The sequence below is a fragment of the Homo sapiens genome, chromosome 4 (assembly GCF_000001405.40).
Source record: "Homo sapiens chromosome 4, GRCh38.p14 Primary Assembly".
Taxonomy (NCBI): Eukaryota; Metazoa; Chordata; class Mammalia; order Primates; family Hominidae; genus Homo; species Homo sapiens.
In genome coordinates this window covers 190,089,727-190,103,441 of record NC_000004.12, presented here as the reverse complement: position 1 = coordinate 190,103,441, position 13,715 = coordinate 190,089,727, and the positions used below count along the sequence as shown (strand labels likewise).

Genomic DNA, 13,715 nt, shown 5'->3' with positions numbered 1-13,715 from the left:
AGAAGCGATGAGCAGCCGAAGCCTCAAGGAAAGGATGCTTTTGTAAAACAAGACTTGTAGAATAAAACATGTGAAAGTAAAGCCCATGGCAGAGCTCCCTCCTCAGCACATGGGGAGCAGACAGGAAGCTTTTGCCTCACCTTCCTCAATGGCCAGCAGCCACGTCTGCCCAGGTCAGTCTTAAGGACAATGAAACTCTGGTCTTCACTGTAGACATGCTACACTACCAGGTGCTCCAAAGCCATGGTGACCCACCCTCGGGTGGGTCCTGAGGAGAACAAAGCTCTGGTTCTAATCCTAACCCTAACCCTGTCCCAAGACTTTGACCCTGAACCTAAACACTGATCCCTACCCTGGGCCCCAATTCTCACCCTTACTTTGACCCTGATTTTGATCTTGACCCTGACCTTGACCCCACCTCTAACCATATTTCTGGCCCTGACTCTGACCCAGATCCTAATCCTAACCCTAACCCTAACCCTATTATTATCTTTACGATCTATCTCTAATCTTACCCTCTAGTGCTAAATAGCTGTATCCAACAGCACTTTTAAACTGTTTAACTTCTTTTCCTTGAATTCTCTAAGGATATCCTAAAGGAGATGTCATTATGTATTTTGCATTCCCTCTGAGTGGTATGGCTTCAGATATGCAGTTCTAATACTTTGCAAGACATAAAAAGTTTGGAGGGAAATAGCACCGGGTTGTTAGGGATGCATGTTTGCATTCATGATAGTCATTGGTGCTGTTCTCCAAATATTTTCAGTTCATTTGTTTGTGAATGCATTCTGACTGTTCCATCCCACCTACTTAAATTTTCCCATGGCCACATGACTTTTTTGTTTGTTTGTTTGTTTTTTGCCAACGGAGGTGAGAAGAAATAACATGTGACTTTTTCAGAAGAAATCTCCAAGAAACAGAGTTCTATTCCGCATGCTTTTTTCTTTTTTCTATAGCAATGGGGATCTTATTGATGGTCCCTCCTTCCGTCTGGATTCCTGTGTTAGGATGACACAGCACAGAGCTACCTCACATCTGACCCATGATGAGATGTAAATAAATGAGGAAAAAGATTTTTGAACCACTGAAATTTGGAGGTTGTTTGTCACCACAGTTTAACCTAGCCCCCATTGACTGATGCAGGGCTGAAGAATGAGTCTGAACTGGATCTGGACAAGACATGTGAAGAGCACTGCAGGCTGAGTAAAACTCAAGTGTTGTCTCAAAGATAACAGTGAGCACAATATGTTATTAGGGTGAGTGTGGGATAAATAAGGTATATCAGGTGAGAATAATGAGAAACTCAACTTCAAAAGATGGTGCTGATTTGGACTGTGGAGAGATTCAAATGCCCTGCTTAGCATTTGAGATTGTGATGGTTGAACAAACTAATTAAGAGCCCAAAATGAAGGCTTGGGATAAATATCTGAGGGTGTCTAATATCCCAATTTTTCATCCTAGAGTGGGCAGAGTCCTTGATCCCATTCTAGGGAGACTTCCAAAAGAAAAAAGACCTGCATTTCTTCAACAACCCACATTGAGAGACTTTCCTGCACTTTTGACCTATGGTTAACACTCCTCACCTTTCATTCTGTCATCAGTGTTTTGGGGAAACACCTTTAACTCTCTATGATTTACAGGTTATGAAGTGGCCCTTATAATTCCTTCCAGGGGTGGAAAAGACTAATGATGATGGTGTCTGAGCTCACAGCCACAAGCGGGCATGTGTGTTCAGCAGCCATGTGGCTCATGTGCTAGGAGCTTACTAAATACAATGTTCTACATCATTGCTTAACACAAGGGGAGATGCTCCTGACTCAGAGGGTTTAATTGCTCACCTGCTTCTTTTTCTGCCCTCTTGGGCTCCTAAAATGAAAAGAATCCTGGGGTGATAAAGTGAGTCAAAGGGGTGCCAGCCACATCACAGCAAAATAGATTCCTAAAAAAATCCCTGGCCTAAGATGACAGCCTTGGCTGGATAAGTTTGAATGTGCTGATAGTGGACATGGTAGAATGAAGGTGGTTGAAATGTTCATATTAAAGAACTTCTACCCAGATTGCAAGAAAAGAGAGAGGAATGGAGATGGCAGCATGATTCCCTATAATAAAAGCAGATGATTTAAGATCAGTTATCTTTGTTCTGAAAAAAATAAAGACAGAAACAAAAGTTTAGCCTGAGGCTACAATTAATTGGGCAATAAGTGAGAGGCACATATGGCATAGACAGATTTAAACATTTCTCCCTTATATTAATACAAATACTAAAATTACAAATAAATTGATTCCAAATAAAACAAATATTTAAAAAACTTAATGAATAAACACCGGAGTCTACAGTAGTGTTCGAAGGAGATCTCACAAACAAGTTTGGTTTTTGAAGGTTAGAACTGATGGTCTAGAGAATTCATATCATTCCAGAGAGAGAAAGAGAGGAATTTTTTAAAAAGAACACTTGCAGTGTTTGAAGTGACAAAGGCTGCTGTGACAAAAAGGAAGGGAAAGGGAATTTTTTTTAAAAAAGCAAGCAACAACAACAAAACCCCACAAAAAAGCAGACAACAAACAAACAAAAAACAGAGGAAGAAGTCAAAACATGCTGGGCTGTGACTACTTCCAGGAAGGGGCTACAAGAGGCAGCTGGAAATTCTATTTGCTTTGCAACTGTGAGTTTTCCGGCCTGCTTCCTTTCTAAAGTATATTACTTTGTTTTTGGTTCATGAAGTTATCCATTTCTGTTTTCTGGAACAGCTATGTATTTTCTTTATCTATCATCTATCTACCTGCCTATCATCTATCTATCTATTTACTATCTATCTTTTCTACCTTTCACTATCAAGAGCTTGGGTCAAGCAGGATAGAATTCCAGTGTATGTTCACTCTACCATTTAAAACAAGAGCTCTTGTAGGCATTCTCCAACACATCATAAACCTGAGCTTTCTAAAACAGGGTGTGGCAAACTACCATTCATGGGCCATGTCTGACATAGTCTGCGTTTGTAAGAAAAGTTGTAATGGGACACAGCCACATACATGTGTTACATAATGTCTCTGGCTACTTTCATGGTATAACGGAAGAGCTGAGTCATTGAGAGAGGGACCACATGGCTTGGAAAACTTAAAATATTTAACATTTAGCCCTTCGCAGAAAATATTTGCTGACTCTTGTTTTTAAAGATCTCTGTTTAGAATGCTAACTATTGCCTTCTGGATAGAATCACAACTCTTTACCACAATCAACACAGCTTCAACCCTGCTTCTATATCCAGCCTCATCTATTATTTCCGCTCCTCCTCCTTATTTTCCTTCTGGCCATGCTGATGGATTGCCAGCTTCCCAGATGTGCAAGAATCTCTCCTCCCTTCCCGACATTCTCATGCTCTCCCTCTGCCTCTCAAGAACTTCCTGTCCCATCTCTCATGACGAATCTCTTCTTCATTCTTTAAGATGCAGCTCCTTTGCTCCTTCCTTAAAGATGTCTGTCTGGCTCTATTTTGGGTGACATGCTCCTTCTGCATCTCCCAGAGCCAGCCTGTGTGTGTCAGCTACAGCATTTATTTGCATCTCTGTGTCATATATCACCAAATCTGCCTAAGCTTGCGTGAGTCACTGCATGACAACTTCAGCCTCCACCAGCATTGTCCCCACTAACCATGAGGCTTAGATATTTGTCCAGTATGCTCGGGGTTGTGGAGTGGTAGCAGTAACCAACTGGTGAGCATCATTTCTTACATCAGAATCAAATCTGTAGATCTCTGCAATTCATAAGTATTTGGAGTTTAAAATTAGCATAAAGATTTTCTTTAAAATAAGAACAAATGGCTTGAGTAGGCTTTTGGAATGTATAATACTTCTGCTGGCTCCTTTCAGTGTTCAGTATTCCCACATGAATCTAAACACAACTCTGCTCTTAGTAGCTGTGTGACCCTGGGAAAGTCACTCAATCTCCCTCAGCTAAATTTTGTTGTGTGAGTAATGAGAAGAGAGTTGTGATTTGTATTTAGTGAGTAATAACAAACAAAAGGCATTTAGCTTTCTGGAACCTGGTATGTAGTAGATCCTCATGAAATACTAACTCTGTTGATAAAACTAGACTGAAAGAAGCTTTCAAAGTCAACAGCAGTATCATGCAGGGAAGGATGTAGATGAGAAGCTGCTGCTGCTGCTGCTGCAGCCTACAGCTCCTGGAGGCCCGTTTTGTCCATGATTTAGCAGGAATGCACTACCTTTCCATGAGGAGACACTGCCCACAGAAACCAAGGCCATTCTTTGAAGACAAACATGTTTTAATAGCCTTTACATTATGTAATAGTGTAATATAAATAATAATTTATTTACATTATTCTGTTATAACTTTTGTACAGAGCTTTACACCTAGATATTCTGAAGTTGGTGGTCTGTGAGTGGCATCAAGTGGTGAGTGACACACTCTGACCTTGGGTAGAACAACACAAGCATTCTTATACACCAATAACAGACAAACAGAGAGCCAAATCATGAGTGAACTCCCATTCACAATTGCTTCAAAGAGAATAAAATACCTAGGAATCAAACTTACAAGGGATGTGAAGGACTTCTTCAAGGAGAACTACAAACCACTGCTCGATGAAATAAAAGAGGACACAAACAAATGGAACAACATTCCATGCTCATGGATAGGAAGAATCAATATCATGAAAATGGCCATACTGCCCAAGGTAATTTATAGATTCAATGCCATTTGCATCAAGCTACCAATGAATTTCTTTGCAGAATTGGAAAAAACTACTTTAAAGTTCATATGGAACCAAAAAAGAGTCTGCATTGCCAAGACAATCCTAAGCCAAAAGAACAAACCTGGAGGCATCACACTACCTGAATTCGAACTATACTACAAGGCTACAGTAACAAAAACAGATTGGCATTGGTACCAAAACAGAGATATACACCAATGGAACAGAGCAGAGCCATCAGAAATAATACCACACATCTACAACCATCTGATCTTTGAGAAACCTGACAAAAACAAGCAATGGGGAAAGGATTCCCTATTTAATAAATGGTGCTTGGAAAACTGGCTAGCCATACATAGAAAGCTGAAACTGGATCCCTTCCTTACACTTTATACAAAAATTAATTCAAGATGGATTAAAGACTTACATGTTAGACCTAAAACCATAAAAACCCTAGAAGAAAACCTAGGCAATACCATTCAGGACATAGGCATGGGCAAGGACTTCATGCCTAAAACACCGAAAGCAATGGCAACAAAAGCCAAAATGCACAAATGGGATCTAATTAAACTAAAGAGCTTCTGCACAGAAAAAGAAACTACCATCAGAGTGAACAGGCAACCTACAGAATGGGAGAAAATTTTTGCAATCTACCCATCTGACAAAGGACTAATATCCAGAATCTACAAAGAACTCAAATTTATAAGAAATAAAACAAACAACCTCATCAAGAAGTGGGCAAAGGATATGAACAGACACTTCTCAAAAGAAGGCATTTTGTGCAGCCAACAGACACGTGAAAAAATGCTCATCACTGGCCATCAGAGAAATGCAAATCAAAACCACAATGAGATACCATCTCACACCAGTTAGAATGGCGATCATTAAAAAGTCAGGAAACAACAAGTGCTGGAGAGGATGTGGAGAAATAGGAACACTTTTACACTGTTGGTGGGACTGTAAACTAGTTCAACCATTGTAGAAGATGGTATGGTGATTCCTCAAGGATCTAGAACTAGAAATACCATTTGATCCAGCCATCCCATTACTTGGTATATACCCAAAGGATTATAAATCATGCTGCTATAAAGACACATGCACACGTATGTTTATCGCAGTGCTATTCACAACAGCAAAGACTTGGAACCAACCCAAATGTCCATCAATGATAGACTGGATTAAGAAAATGTGGTACATATACACCATGGAATACTGTGCAGCCATAAAAAAGGATGAGTTCATTTCCTTTGTAGGGGCATGGATGAAGCTGGAAACCATCATTCTCAGCAAACTATCACAAGCACAAGAAACCAAACACTGCATGTTCTCACTCATAGGTGGGAATTGAACAATGAGAACACTTGGACACAGGAAGGGGAACATCACACACCGGGGCCTGTTGTGGGGTGGAGGAAGGGGGGAGGGAAAGCATTAGGAGATATACCTAATGTAAATGACGAGGTAATGGGTGTAGCACACCAACATGGCACATGTATACATATGTAACAAACCTGCACGTTGTGCACATGTACCCTAGAACTTAAAGTATAATAATAAAAAAAAGAGTGAAAAAAATAAAGAAGCCCATGAGAAAGATCTCCATCAAGTTCACGCGGAATGAACTCCAGCAAGACCTGGAAAATGCTCAGTTCCACAAAATATCTGCGTCCAAATACTTTGAGTGCACAGCTCTGGCATCAGGTTACTGTGAGGACAGACCCTGAGATGGATTTCTGGATGGAGGCTGCTGCTGGAGGAGACAATGTCACTGCAGATGGCTCATGCTGCTCCCATGCTGCAGGGGCCAGTGATTTGGGGCTCCCACCTGCTGTCCCGTTGGGGAACTGCGGAGATTCACCCCAGCTGGGTGGACTCTGCTGTGTCTCCTGTCAAGAATCTCCTCAGCTTACCTTGGTTTTTCCTTTTTAAATACTCTCTGGTGTTTTCCTCTCCAGTGGGGGCTGCATCTCACCTTAGAAGAAAAGATTTTCCAACTAGGGGCTGTCTTGGTAGCTGGTCCAGAAGAAGGTCTCCTCTCTCTGGAGTGAGGTCCAGCCAAGTAACTCCAGCCAGAACTCTCACTGAGTGCGGCTGGATCTGCCCTGCTCTCCTCCCATCCTCCTGTGGACTGTGGAAACCCATCCATGCCCTATGCAAAGTCCTGCATCTCAGACTGTAAAATGGCAGAAGCTGAATTTAAAATAAATGATTATATTGACTCTATGAGGGAAACAGAGTTCTGAGGTAGGCAATTGGTAAGCAAGCAATTATGTGTAACTTGTTAGAACACTAGGGTGTTTTTTGTCTTACTGATTATTTTCTGGTTAACAGGCTGGCTAGGAGCCAGAGGGAGAGAAAGCTGGCTGGGAATTGAGAGGCATGAAGTCACCTCAGTCCCAACATTTCCATGTAAATGATGATGCGAGATGGGCTGGTGGCAGGAGTCCCTGGAAATCCTCACAATCTCAGCTTTTAACTTCTGTAAAATATTATGTCATTTATGATCTCTTTAACAAATAACTTTTTTTCTAATTATAAAAGTGTATATTCTCTTTGGAGGATCTTTGGTGAATATAAAATGAGTTATAAGAAAAAGAAAAATTCATAATTTTATCACTCAAATTTTGATAATTATATTCCTGCACTTTTAATGAAATGTAGAAATTTTAGATTATACTGTACATAAAATGTTTCTGTTTTTTCATCCAATATTGGATCATAAACGTCTTACATGGCATAAACTATATATGTAAATCAACTATTTCCACACCTGGATGCTTGATTTAACCCTCCTTATACTGTTAGCCATTTAAATGATTTCTACTTTATCCTATGAATAACACTTCCACCAGTTATTATTCTTATATATAACTCATTCAATCATTTCATAATCTTGTTGAGCATTTATTTATAATTTGGTTGCCTATTACCTGAGTGGATTGTGGTTATATGTTTATATGCTTATTCCAAATATAGTGCTAAGATTAGCATTAGAGACAACAAAATATTTACAGGTTTTGAAACTAGAAGGAGCCAAACAAATCCATGATCCAGCTCTGCATACTCTCACCCAGCCTTAGTTCTCTCACACAGAAAGTGAAGACAGTGCTATTTGCCTTGTGGCATTGCTGTGAACTTAAAGAAGGCACCGATTGTACACACAGCAGTGCGCAGACCGTGGAAGGCTGGGCTCCGACCAACTCTAAGGACAATCACCATCGGATGCCCCACGATCCTACTCTCAGGATGCCCATATGCCATATGCCATGTGAGTGTCACTCAGTGAACACATATTTGTTGATTATAAATTACTCCCATGCTGTTTTCTTTGTTTTACATGTTCACAAATCTGTAAAAACAAAGTTACAATTATGAAATTAAAAGTTAACTAAAGGAGGAGATTTTCATTATCTCTGAAATGTAACCCCCCAAATCCAGATTATAAAGCAAGGAAATGTCTTATGGCCCAACACTTGCCATCAATACTTTTTTTATGTTAGTGGGCAGGGGAGGGTAGTGAAAATGAAGGAATCAGAGCTCCGATGGGTGCACATTGTCTTCCCTACAAATCCATTGCTTGTCCAGCCTTCCTTCCTCATTGGGGCTGCTCTATCCTTTTCCACACATTTGAACTGCTCCCCTGTAGGCCTTTCTCATTTGCTTTACTTCCTAGTCTGAATTCCATGGGACCCACATTTAAGGAGAGGGGAACAACTCTGGGACTGGAGGAAGATCACCTTATGAGTTATACCTGCCTCCTTCCTCTACAGTGAACGGTCTCTGGTGTCCCTGGGTGTTCAGTTTCTTTCCACTCATGTGTTACTGACTGTTCAGGTGGCAAATGGCCCATGACCTTTATGGGATTAAAAAGAAAAAAAATAAAAAGCTGTGTTTCTTTTTTTTTAACTTTTATTTTAGGTTAGGGGGTACACGGGAGGGTTTGTTATACAGTTAAATACGTGTCACAGGGGTTTGTTGTACCTGTTATTTCATCATCCAGGTATTAGGCCCAGTATCCAATAGTTATCTTTTCTGCTCCTCTCCCTCCTCCCACCCTCCCCCCATCAAGTAGACCCCAGTGTCTTTTGTTTCCTTCTTTGTGTTCACAAGTTCTTATCATTTAGCTCCCACTTATAAGTTAGAACATGCTGTATTTGGTTTTCTGTTCCTGCGTTAGTTTGCTAAGGATAATACCCTTCAGCTTCATCCATACTAATGCAAAAGACATAATCTCATTCTTTTTTATGGCTGCATATTATTCCATGGTGTATATGTAGCACATTTTCTTTATCCAATCCGTGACTGATGAGTATTTGGGTTGATTCTATGTCTTTGCTATTGTGAATAGTGCTGCAATGAACATTTGCATGCATGTAACTTCATGGTAGAATGATTTATATTCATCTGGGTATATAACCAGTAATGGGATTGCTAGGTCAAATGTTGTAGTTCTGCTTTTAGCTCTTTGAGGAATCACCATACTGCTTTCCACCACAGTTGAATTAACTTACACTCCCACCAATGGTGTATACATGTTCACTTTTCCCTGCAATCTTGCCAACTTCTGTTAGTTTTTTAGTTTTTAGTAATAGCCATTCTGACTGGTGTGAGATGGTGCCTCACTGTGGTTTTGATGAGCATTTCTCTAGTGATCAGTGATCTAGAGCTTTTTTCCATATGTTTGTTTGCCACGTTTGCCTTTTTTTTTTTTTTTTTTCTTAGCCCGAGTCTCGCTCTGTCACCCAGGCCAGAGTGCAGTGGTGCGATCTCAGCTAACTGCAAGCTCTGCCTCCTTGGTTCACGCCATTCTCCTGCCTCAGCCTCCCAAGTAGCTGGGACTACAGGTGCCTGCCACCACACCCGGCTAATTTTTTGTATTTTTAGTAGAGACGGGGTTTCACCATGTTAGTCAGGATGGTCTCAATCTCCTGACGTTGTGATCCACCCTCCTTGGCCTCCCAAAATGCAGGAATTACAGGCGTGAGCCACCACGCCCGGCACACATGTTTGTCTCCTTTGGAGAAGTGTCTCTTTATGTCCTTGGCCCACTTTTTAATGGGGTTGTTTTTCTCTTGTAAATTTGTTTAAGTTCCTTATAGATGCTGGATATTAGACCTTTGTCAGATGCATAGTTTGTAAATACTTTCTCCCAATCTGCAAGTTGCCTGTTTACTTTGTTGATAGTTTCTTTTGCTGTGTAGAAGCTCTTTAGTTTAACTAGATCCCACGTCAATTTTTGCTTTCATTGCTATTGCTTTTGTTGTCTTTGTCATGAAATCTTTGCCTGTCCTTATGTCCAGGATGGTATTGCCTAGGTTGTCTTCCAGGGTTTTTATATTTTTGGGTTTTACACTTAAGTCTTTAATCCATCCTGAGTTCATTTTTGTGTATGGTGTAAGAAAGGGGCCCAGTTCAATCTTCAGCATGTGGCTAGCCAGTTATCCCAGCACCATTTATTGAACGGAGTCTCGAGTCCCGGTCTTTTGTCCCGGAGGAAACCGCCCACTCCCTGGGCCCCGGAACCGGGGCGAATGGGTGGTGCCCCGCCGGCCGGCGCGGCGGCTGTGGGCCCAGCCCTCAGCCCGCGCCGGACGCTGACCGTTTTCCCGGAGGGCGGGGGTCCCGCTACTCCCGGAGGCCGAGGACCGCTTTTCCTCCCTGCCTTCCTCCCCCCGTCCGTCCCCGGCTCCCTCCCGCCCGCCCCCAGTCCCTGCGTCGCTCTGTCTCTCCCTCCGTTCCTCCCTGCCTCCCTGCCTCCCTGCCTCCCTCCTAACGTCCCTCCGCCCGTCCTTCCGCCCCTCTAGGTCTCCCGTTCCTCTCTCCATCTCTGCCCGCCTTCCCTCCCGCCTGGAACGCTCAGCGTCCCCGGTGTGCGCCGGGCCTGGGGTCTGCGTTCCGCCGCCAGGCGCTCCGTGCTGGCAGCTGGGCGGCTGCAGGGGCCCGGGCGGGCGGGCGACGGTGGCGCGGGGGCGCAGAGGAGGCGAGCCGCCGGAGCGGTGTCAGGCCCGGACGCTGCGCGGGGCCCGGTGTTTCGCGGGACGGGGGTCTCCACCCAGCCCAGGGGACGACGCGTTTTCCGGGGGTGGGGGGTGGGGGTGGGGAGGGGGCGGTCAGGCGGCGGGGTGGGCTGGTGGAGAGGCAGGAGAGCTCTGCCCGGGCTGCTCCCACAGCCCAGGCGGCTGCCCGCAAACCCGCGCGTGCGCAGTAGGCGGCCCACCTGCTGGTACCTGGGCCGGCTCTGGGATCCCCGGGATGCCCAGGAAAGAATGGCAGTTCTCCGCGGTGTGGAGTCTCTCACCGGGCCTGGACCTAGAAGGCAGGAATCCCAGGCCGGTCAGCCCGGTGGAGGGGGCGGGGCGGAGACACGCCCCTCCGTAGCCAGCCAGGTGTTCCCCGCGAAAGAGAGGCCACCGCCCTGCCCCGAACCACCCGACCCCGTCCCAACCCCGCGTCCTAAAGCTCCTCCAGCAGAGCCCGGTATTCTTCCTCGCTGAGGGGTGCTTCCAGCGAGGCGGCCTCTTCCGAGGCCTCCAGCTCCCCCGGGGCCTCCGTTTCTAGGAGAGGTTGCGCCTGCTGCAGAAACTCCGGGCTCGCCAGGAGCTCATCCAGCAGCAGGCCGCAGGGGAGTGCAGACCAGGGCGCCGGCTCCTGGAGCGCCTGGGAGGGCGCCGGGATGCCTTGCATCTGCCCCTGCCGCGCGGAGGCGGAGGCGTCCGGGGGCGCGGGCTGGGGAGGTGGAGCTGCCCCGGCTTGGGGTTCCCACGCCGCCCCGGCGACCTGGGGACCCCGGCCCCAGCCCCACCACGGACTCCCCTGGGACGTGGGTGGCGCAAGCACCCCTTGGCCCTGCGGCCCCGCTTGAGCGGGCCCAGGCTGTGCCACCGCGCAGGGGCCCGGCAGGCCGTCGCGCTGCGGGTCCCGGTCCTCCCGGCTTTTGCCCGGGTGCGGAGGCCACCGAGGAGCCTGAGGGTGGGAGAGCGCCCCGTCCGGAGGAGCCGGGGCGGCGTAGGCGAAATCCCCGCGCGCCGGGGCAGGTTGGGAGACCCCCTCTGCCGGCGCGGCCTGGCTGGGCTGCAGCGCGGGGGCGGCCCTCGCTGCCTGGCTCACGAAAGCCCCCTGTGGGAGAGCCCCAGGCGCGCAGGGCACGTGGGGTGCGGGAAGCCCCGTTCCCCACGCGCCGGTGTGGGCGAAGGCGACCCACGAGGGAGCAGGGTGACCCCCGCCGGGGGCCGCGCTGCACAGGCCGCCTGCCTGCGCGGGCGCCCTGCCACCCTGTCCCGGGTGCCTGGCCCTTCGATTCTGAAACCAGATCTGAATCCTGGACTCCGGGAGGCCCGTCTCTCTGGCCAGCTCCTCCCGGGCGGCGATGCCTGGAAAGCGATCCTTCTCAAAGGCTCGGAGGAGCAGGGCGGTCTGGGATCCGGTGACGGCGGTCCGCTTTCGCCGGCCTTCTGGCGGGCCGCGTCTCCCGGGCCAGGGCCGAGATTCCCGCCGGTGCTGCCTCAGCTGGCGTGACCTCTCATTCTGAAACCAAATCTGGACCCTGGGCTCCGGAATGCCGATGGCCTGGGCCAGCCGTTCTCTGGTGGCGATGCCCGGGTACGGGTTCCGCTCAAAGCAGGCTCGCAGGGCCTCGCTTTGGCTCGGGGTCCAAACGAGTCTCCGTCGCCGTCCTCGTCCCCGGGCTTCCGCGGGGAGGGTGCTGTCCGAGGGTGTCGGGAGGGCCATCGCGGTGAGCCCCGGCCGGAATTTCACGGACGGACGCGGGCAGAGAGAGGCCGGCGGGCTCCCGTGCACCTCAGCCGGACTGTGCACTGCGGCAGGTGCAGCCAGGAGGCCTGCCCGGACAGCCAGCCAGCCAGCCAGCCGCCCTTGTAAAGGCCCACAGGCAGGCAGGCTCCACCCCTTCATGAATGGCGGTGAGCCCCCCTGGGACAGCCCGCCCCACCCCGGAAGGGACCCAGGGCGTCGAGGCCTGGGGCCGGCCGGCGGGGTGGTGGTGGTGGTGGTGGTGGGGGGGGGGGGTGGTGGGGGAGGGCGTGGTGGCGGTGGTGGTGGTGGGGCCGGAGAGACGAAGAGGAAGGGGGAGAGGGGGGAGGGGGGAGGGGGGCGCGTTTCGGGGGCCGGCTCTCCGGACCTCTCCAGGGATCCCGCGGGAACGGGAAGCCGCTCTCTGGGCTCCCACGCGTCGGCAGCAGGGAGAAACCAGCCTGGGAGGGTGGAGGGGAGTGTGGAACTGAACCTCCGTGGGAGTCTTGAGTGTGCCAGGCCCTCTCTCCGTGAAGGAGGCAATGCCTGTGGGCGTCGCCGTTGCCGGGACGGTCTCGCACACGCAGGCGTGTGGCTCTCGTTCATTTCCACGTAGAAGACCAGAGCGAGACCCCAGAGAGGAGATGCCTCCCCGGCGTGATGGCCTGACGATGGATTCCCGCGTGCGGCAACGTGGGGAGTCTGCAGTGTGGCCGGTTTGGAACCTGGCAAGGAGAGCGAAGGCACCATGCCGGGCTTGCACCCTTCCCTGCATGTTTCCGGGTGCCCGCAGAGCTCCGGGAGCAAACAGTCGGCATGGCCAGCCTTTCGGGGGCCGGAGAGACGTGAGCAACAGGCCGCCTTGCGGAGGGCAAAGCCACGCGGAAACCAAAATCACGCCTCCGTCGTCCTGCGTGTGGCTCCTCCGTGGCCGGGGCTGTCGGCCTCGCGCCGCGTTGCAGGGCTCAGCCTGGGGATGTGCGGTCTGTGAACCGCGCGGGTGAAGACCCGACGGCAACCCGAGTCCCGGTCTTTTGTCCCGGAGGAAACCGCCCACTCCCTGGGCCCCGGAACCGGGGCGAATGGGTGGTGCCCCGCCGGCCGGCGCGGCGGCTGTGGGCCCAGCCCTCAGCCCGCGCCGGACGCTGACCGTTTTCCCGGAGGGCGGGGGTCCCGCTACTCCCGGAGGCCGAGGACCGCTTTTCCTCCCTGCCTTCCTCCCCCCGTCCGTCCCCGGCTCCCTCCCGCCCGCCCCCA

The 13,715-nt window shown here is 48.9% G+C and overlaps 1 pseudogene; it reads right to left on the bottom strand.

The window, feature by feature from the left end:
* DUX4L2 (double homeobox 4 like 2 (pseudogene)) lies at positions 11,153–12,437 on the bottom strand (annotated as a pseudogene).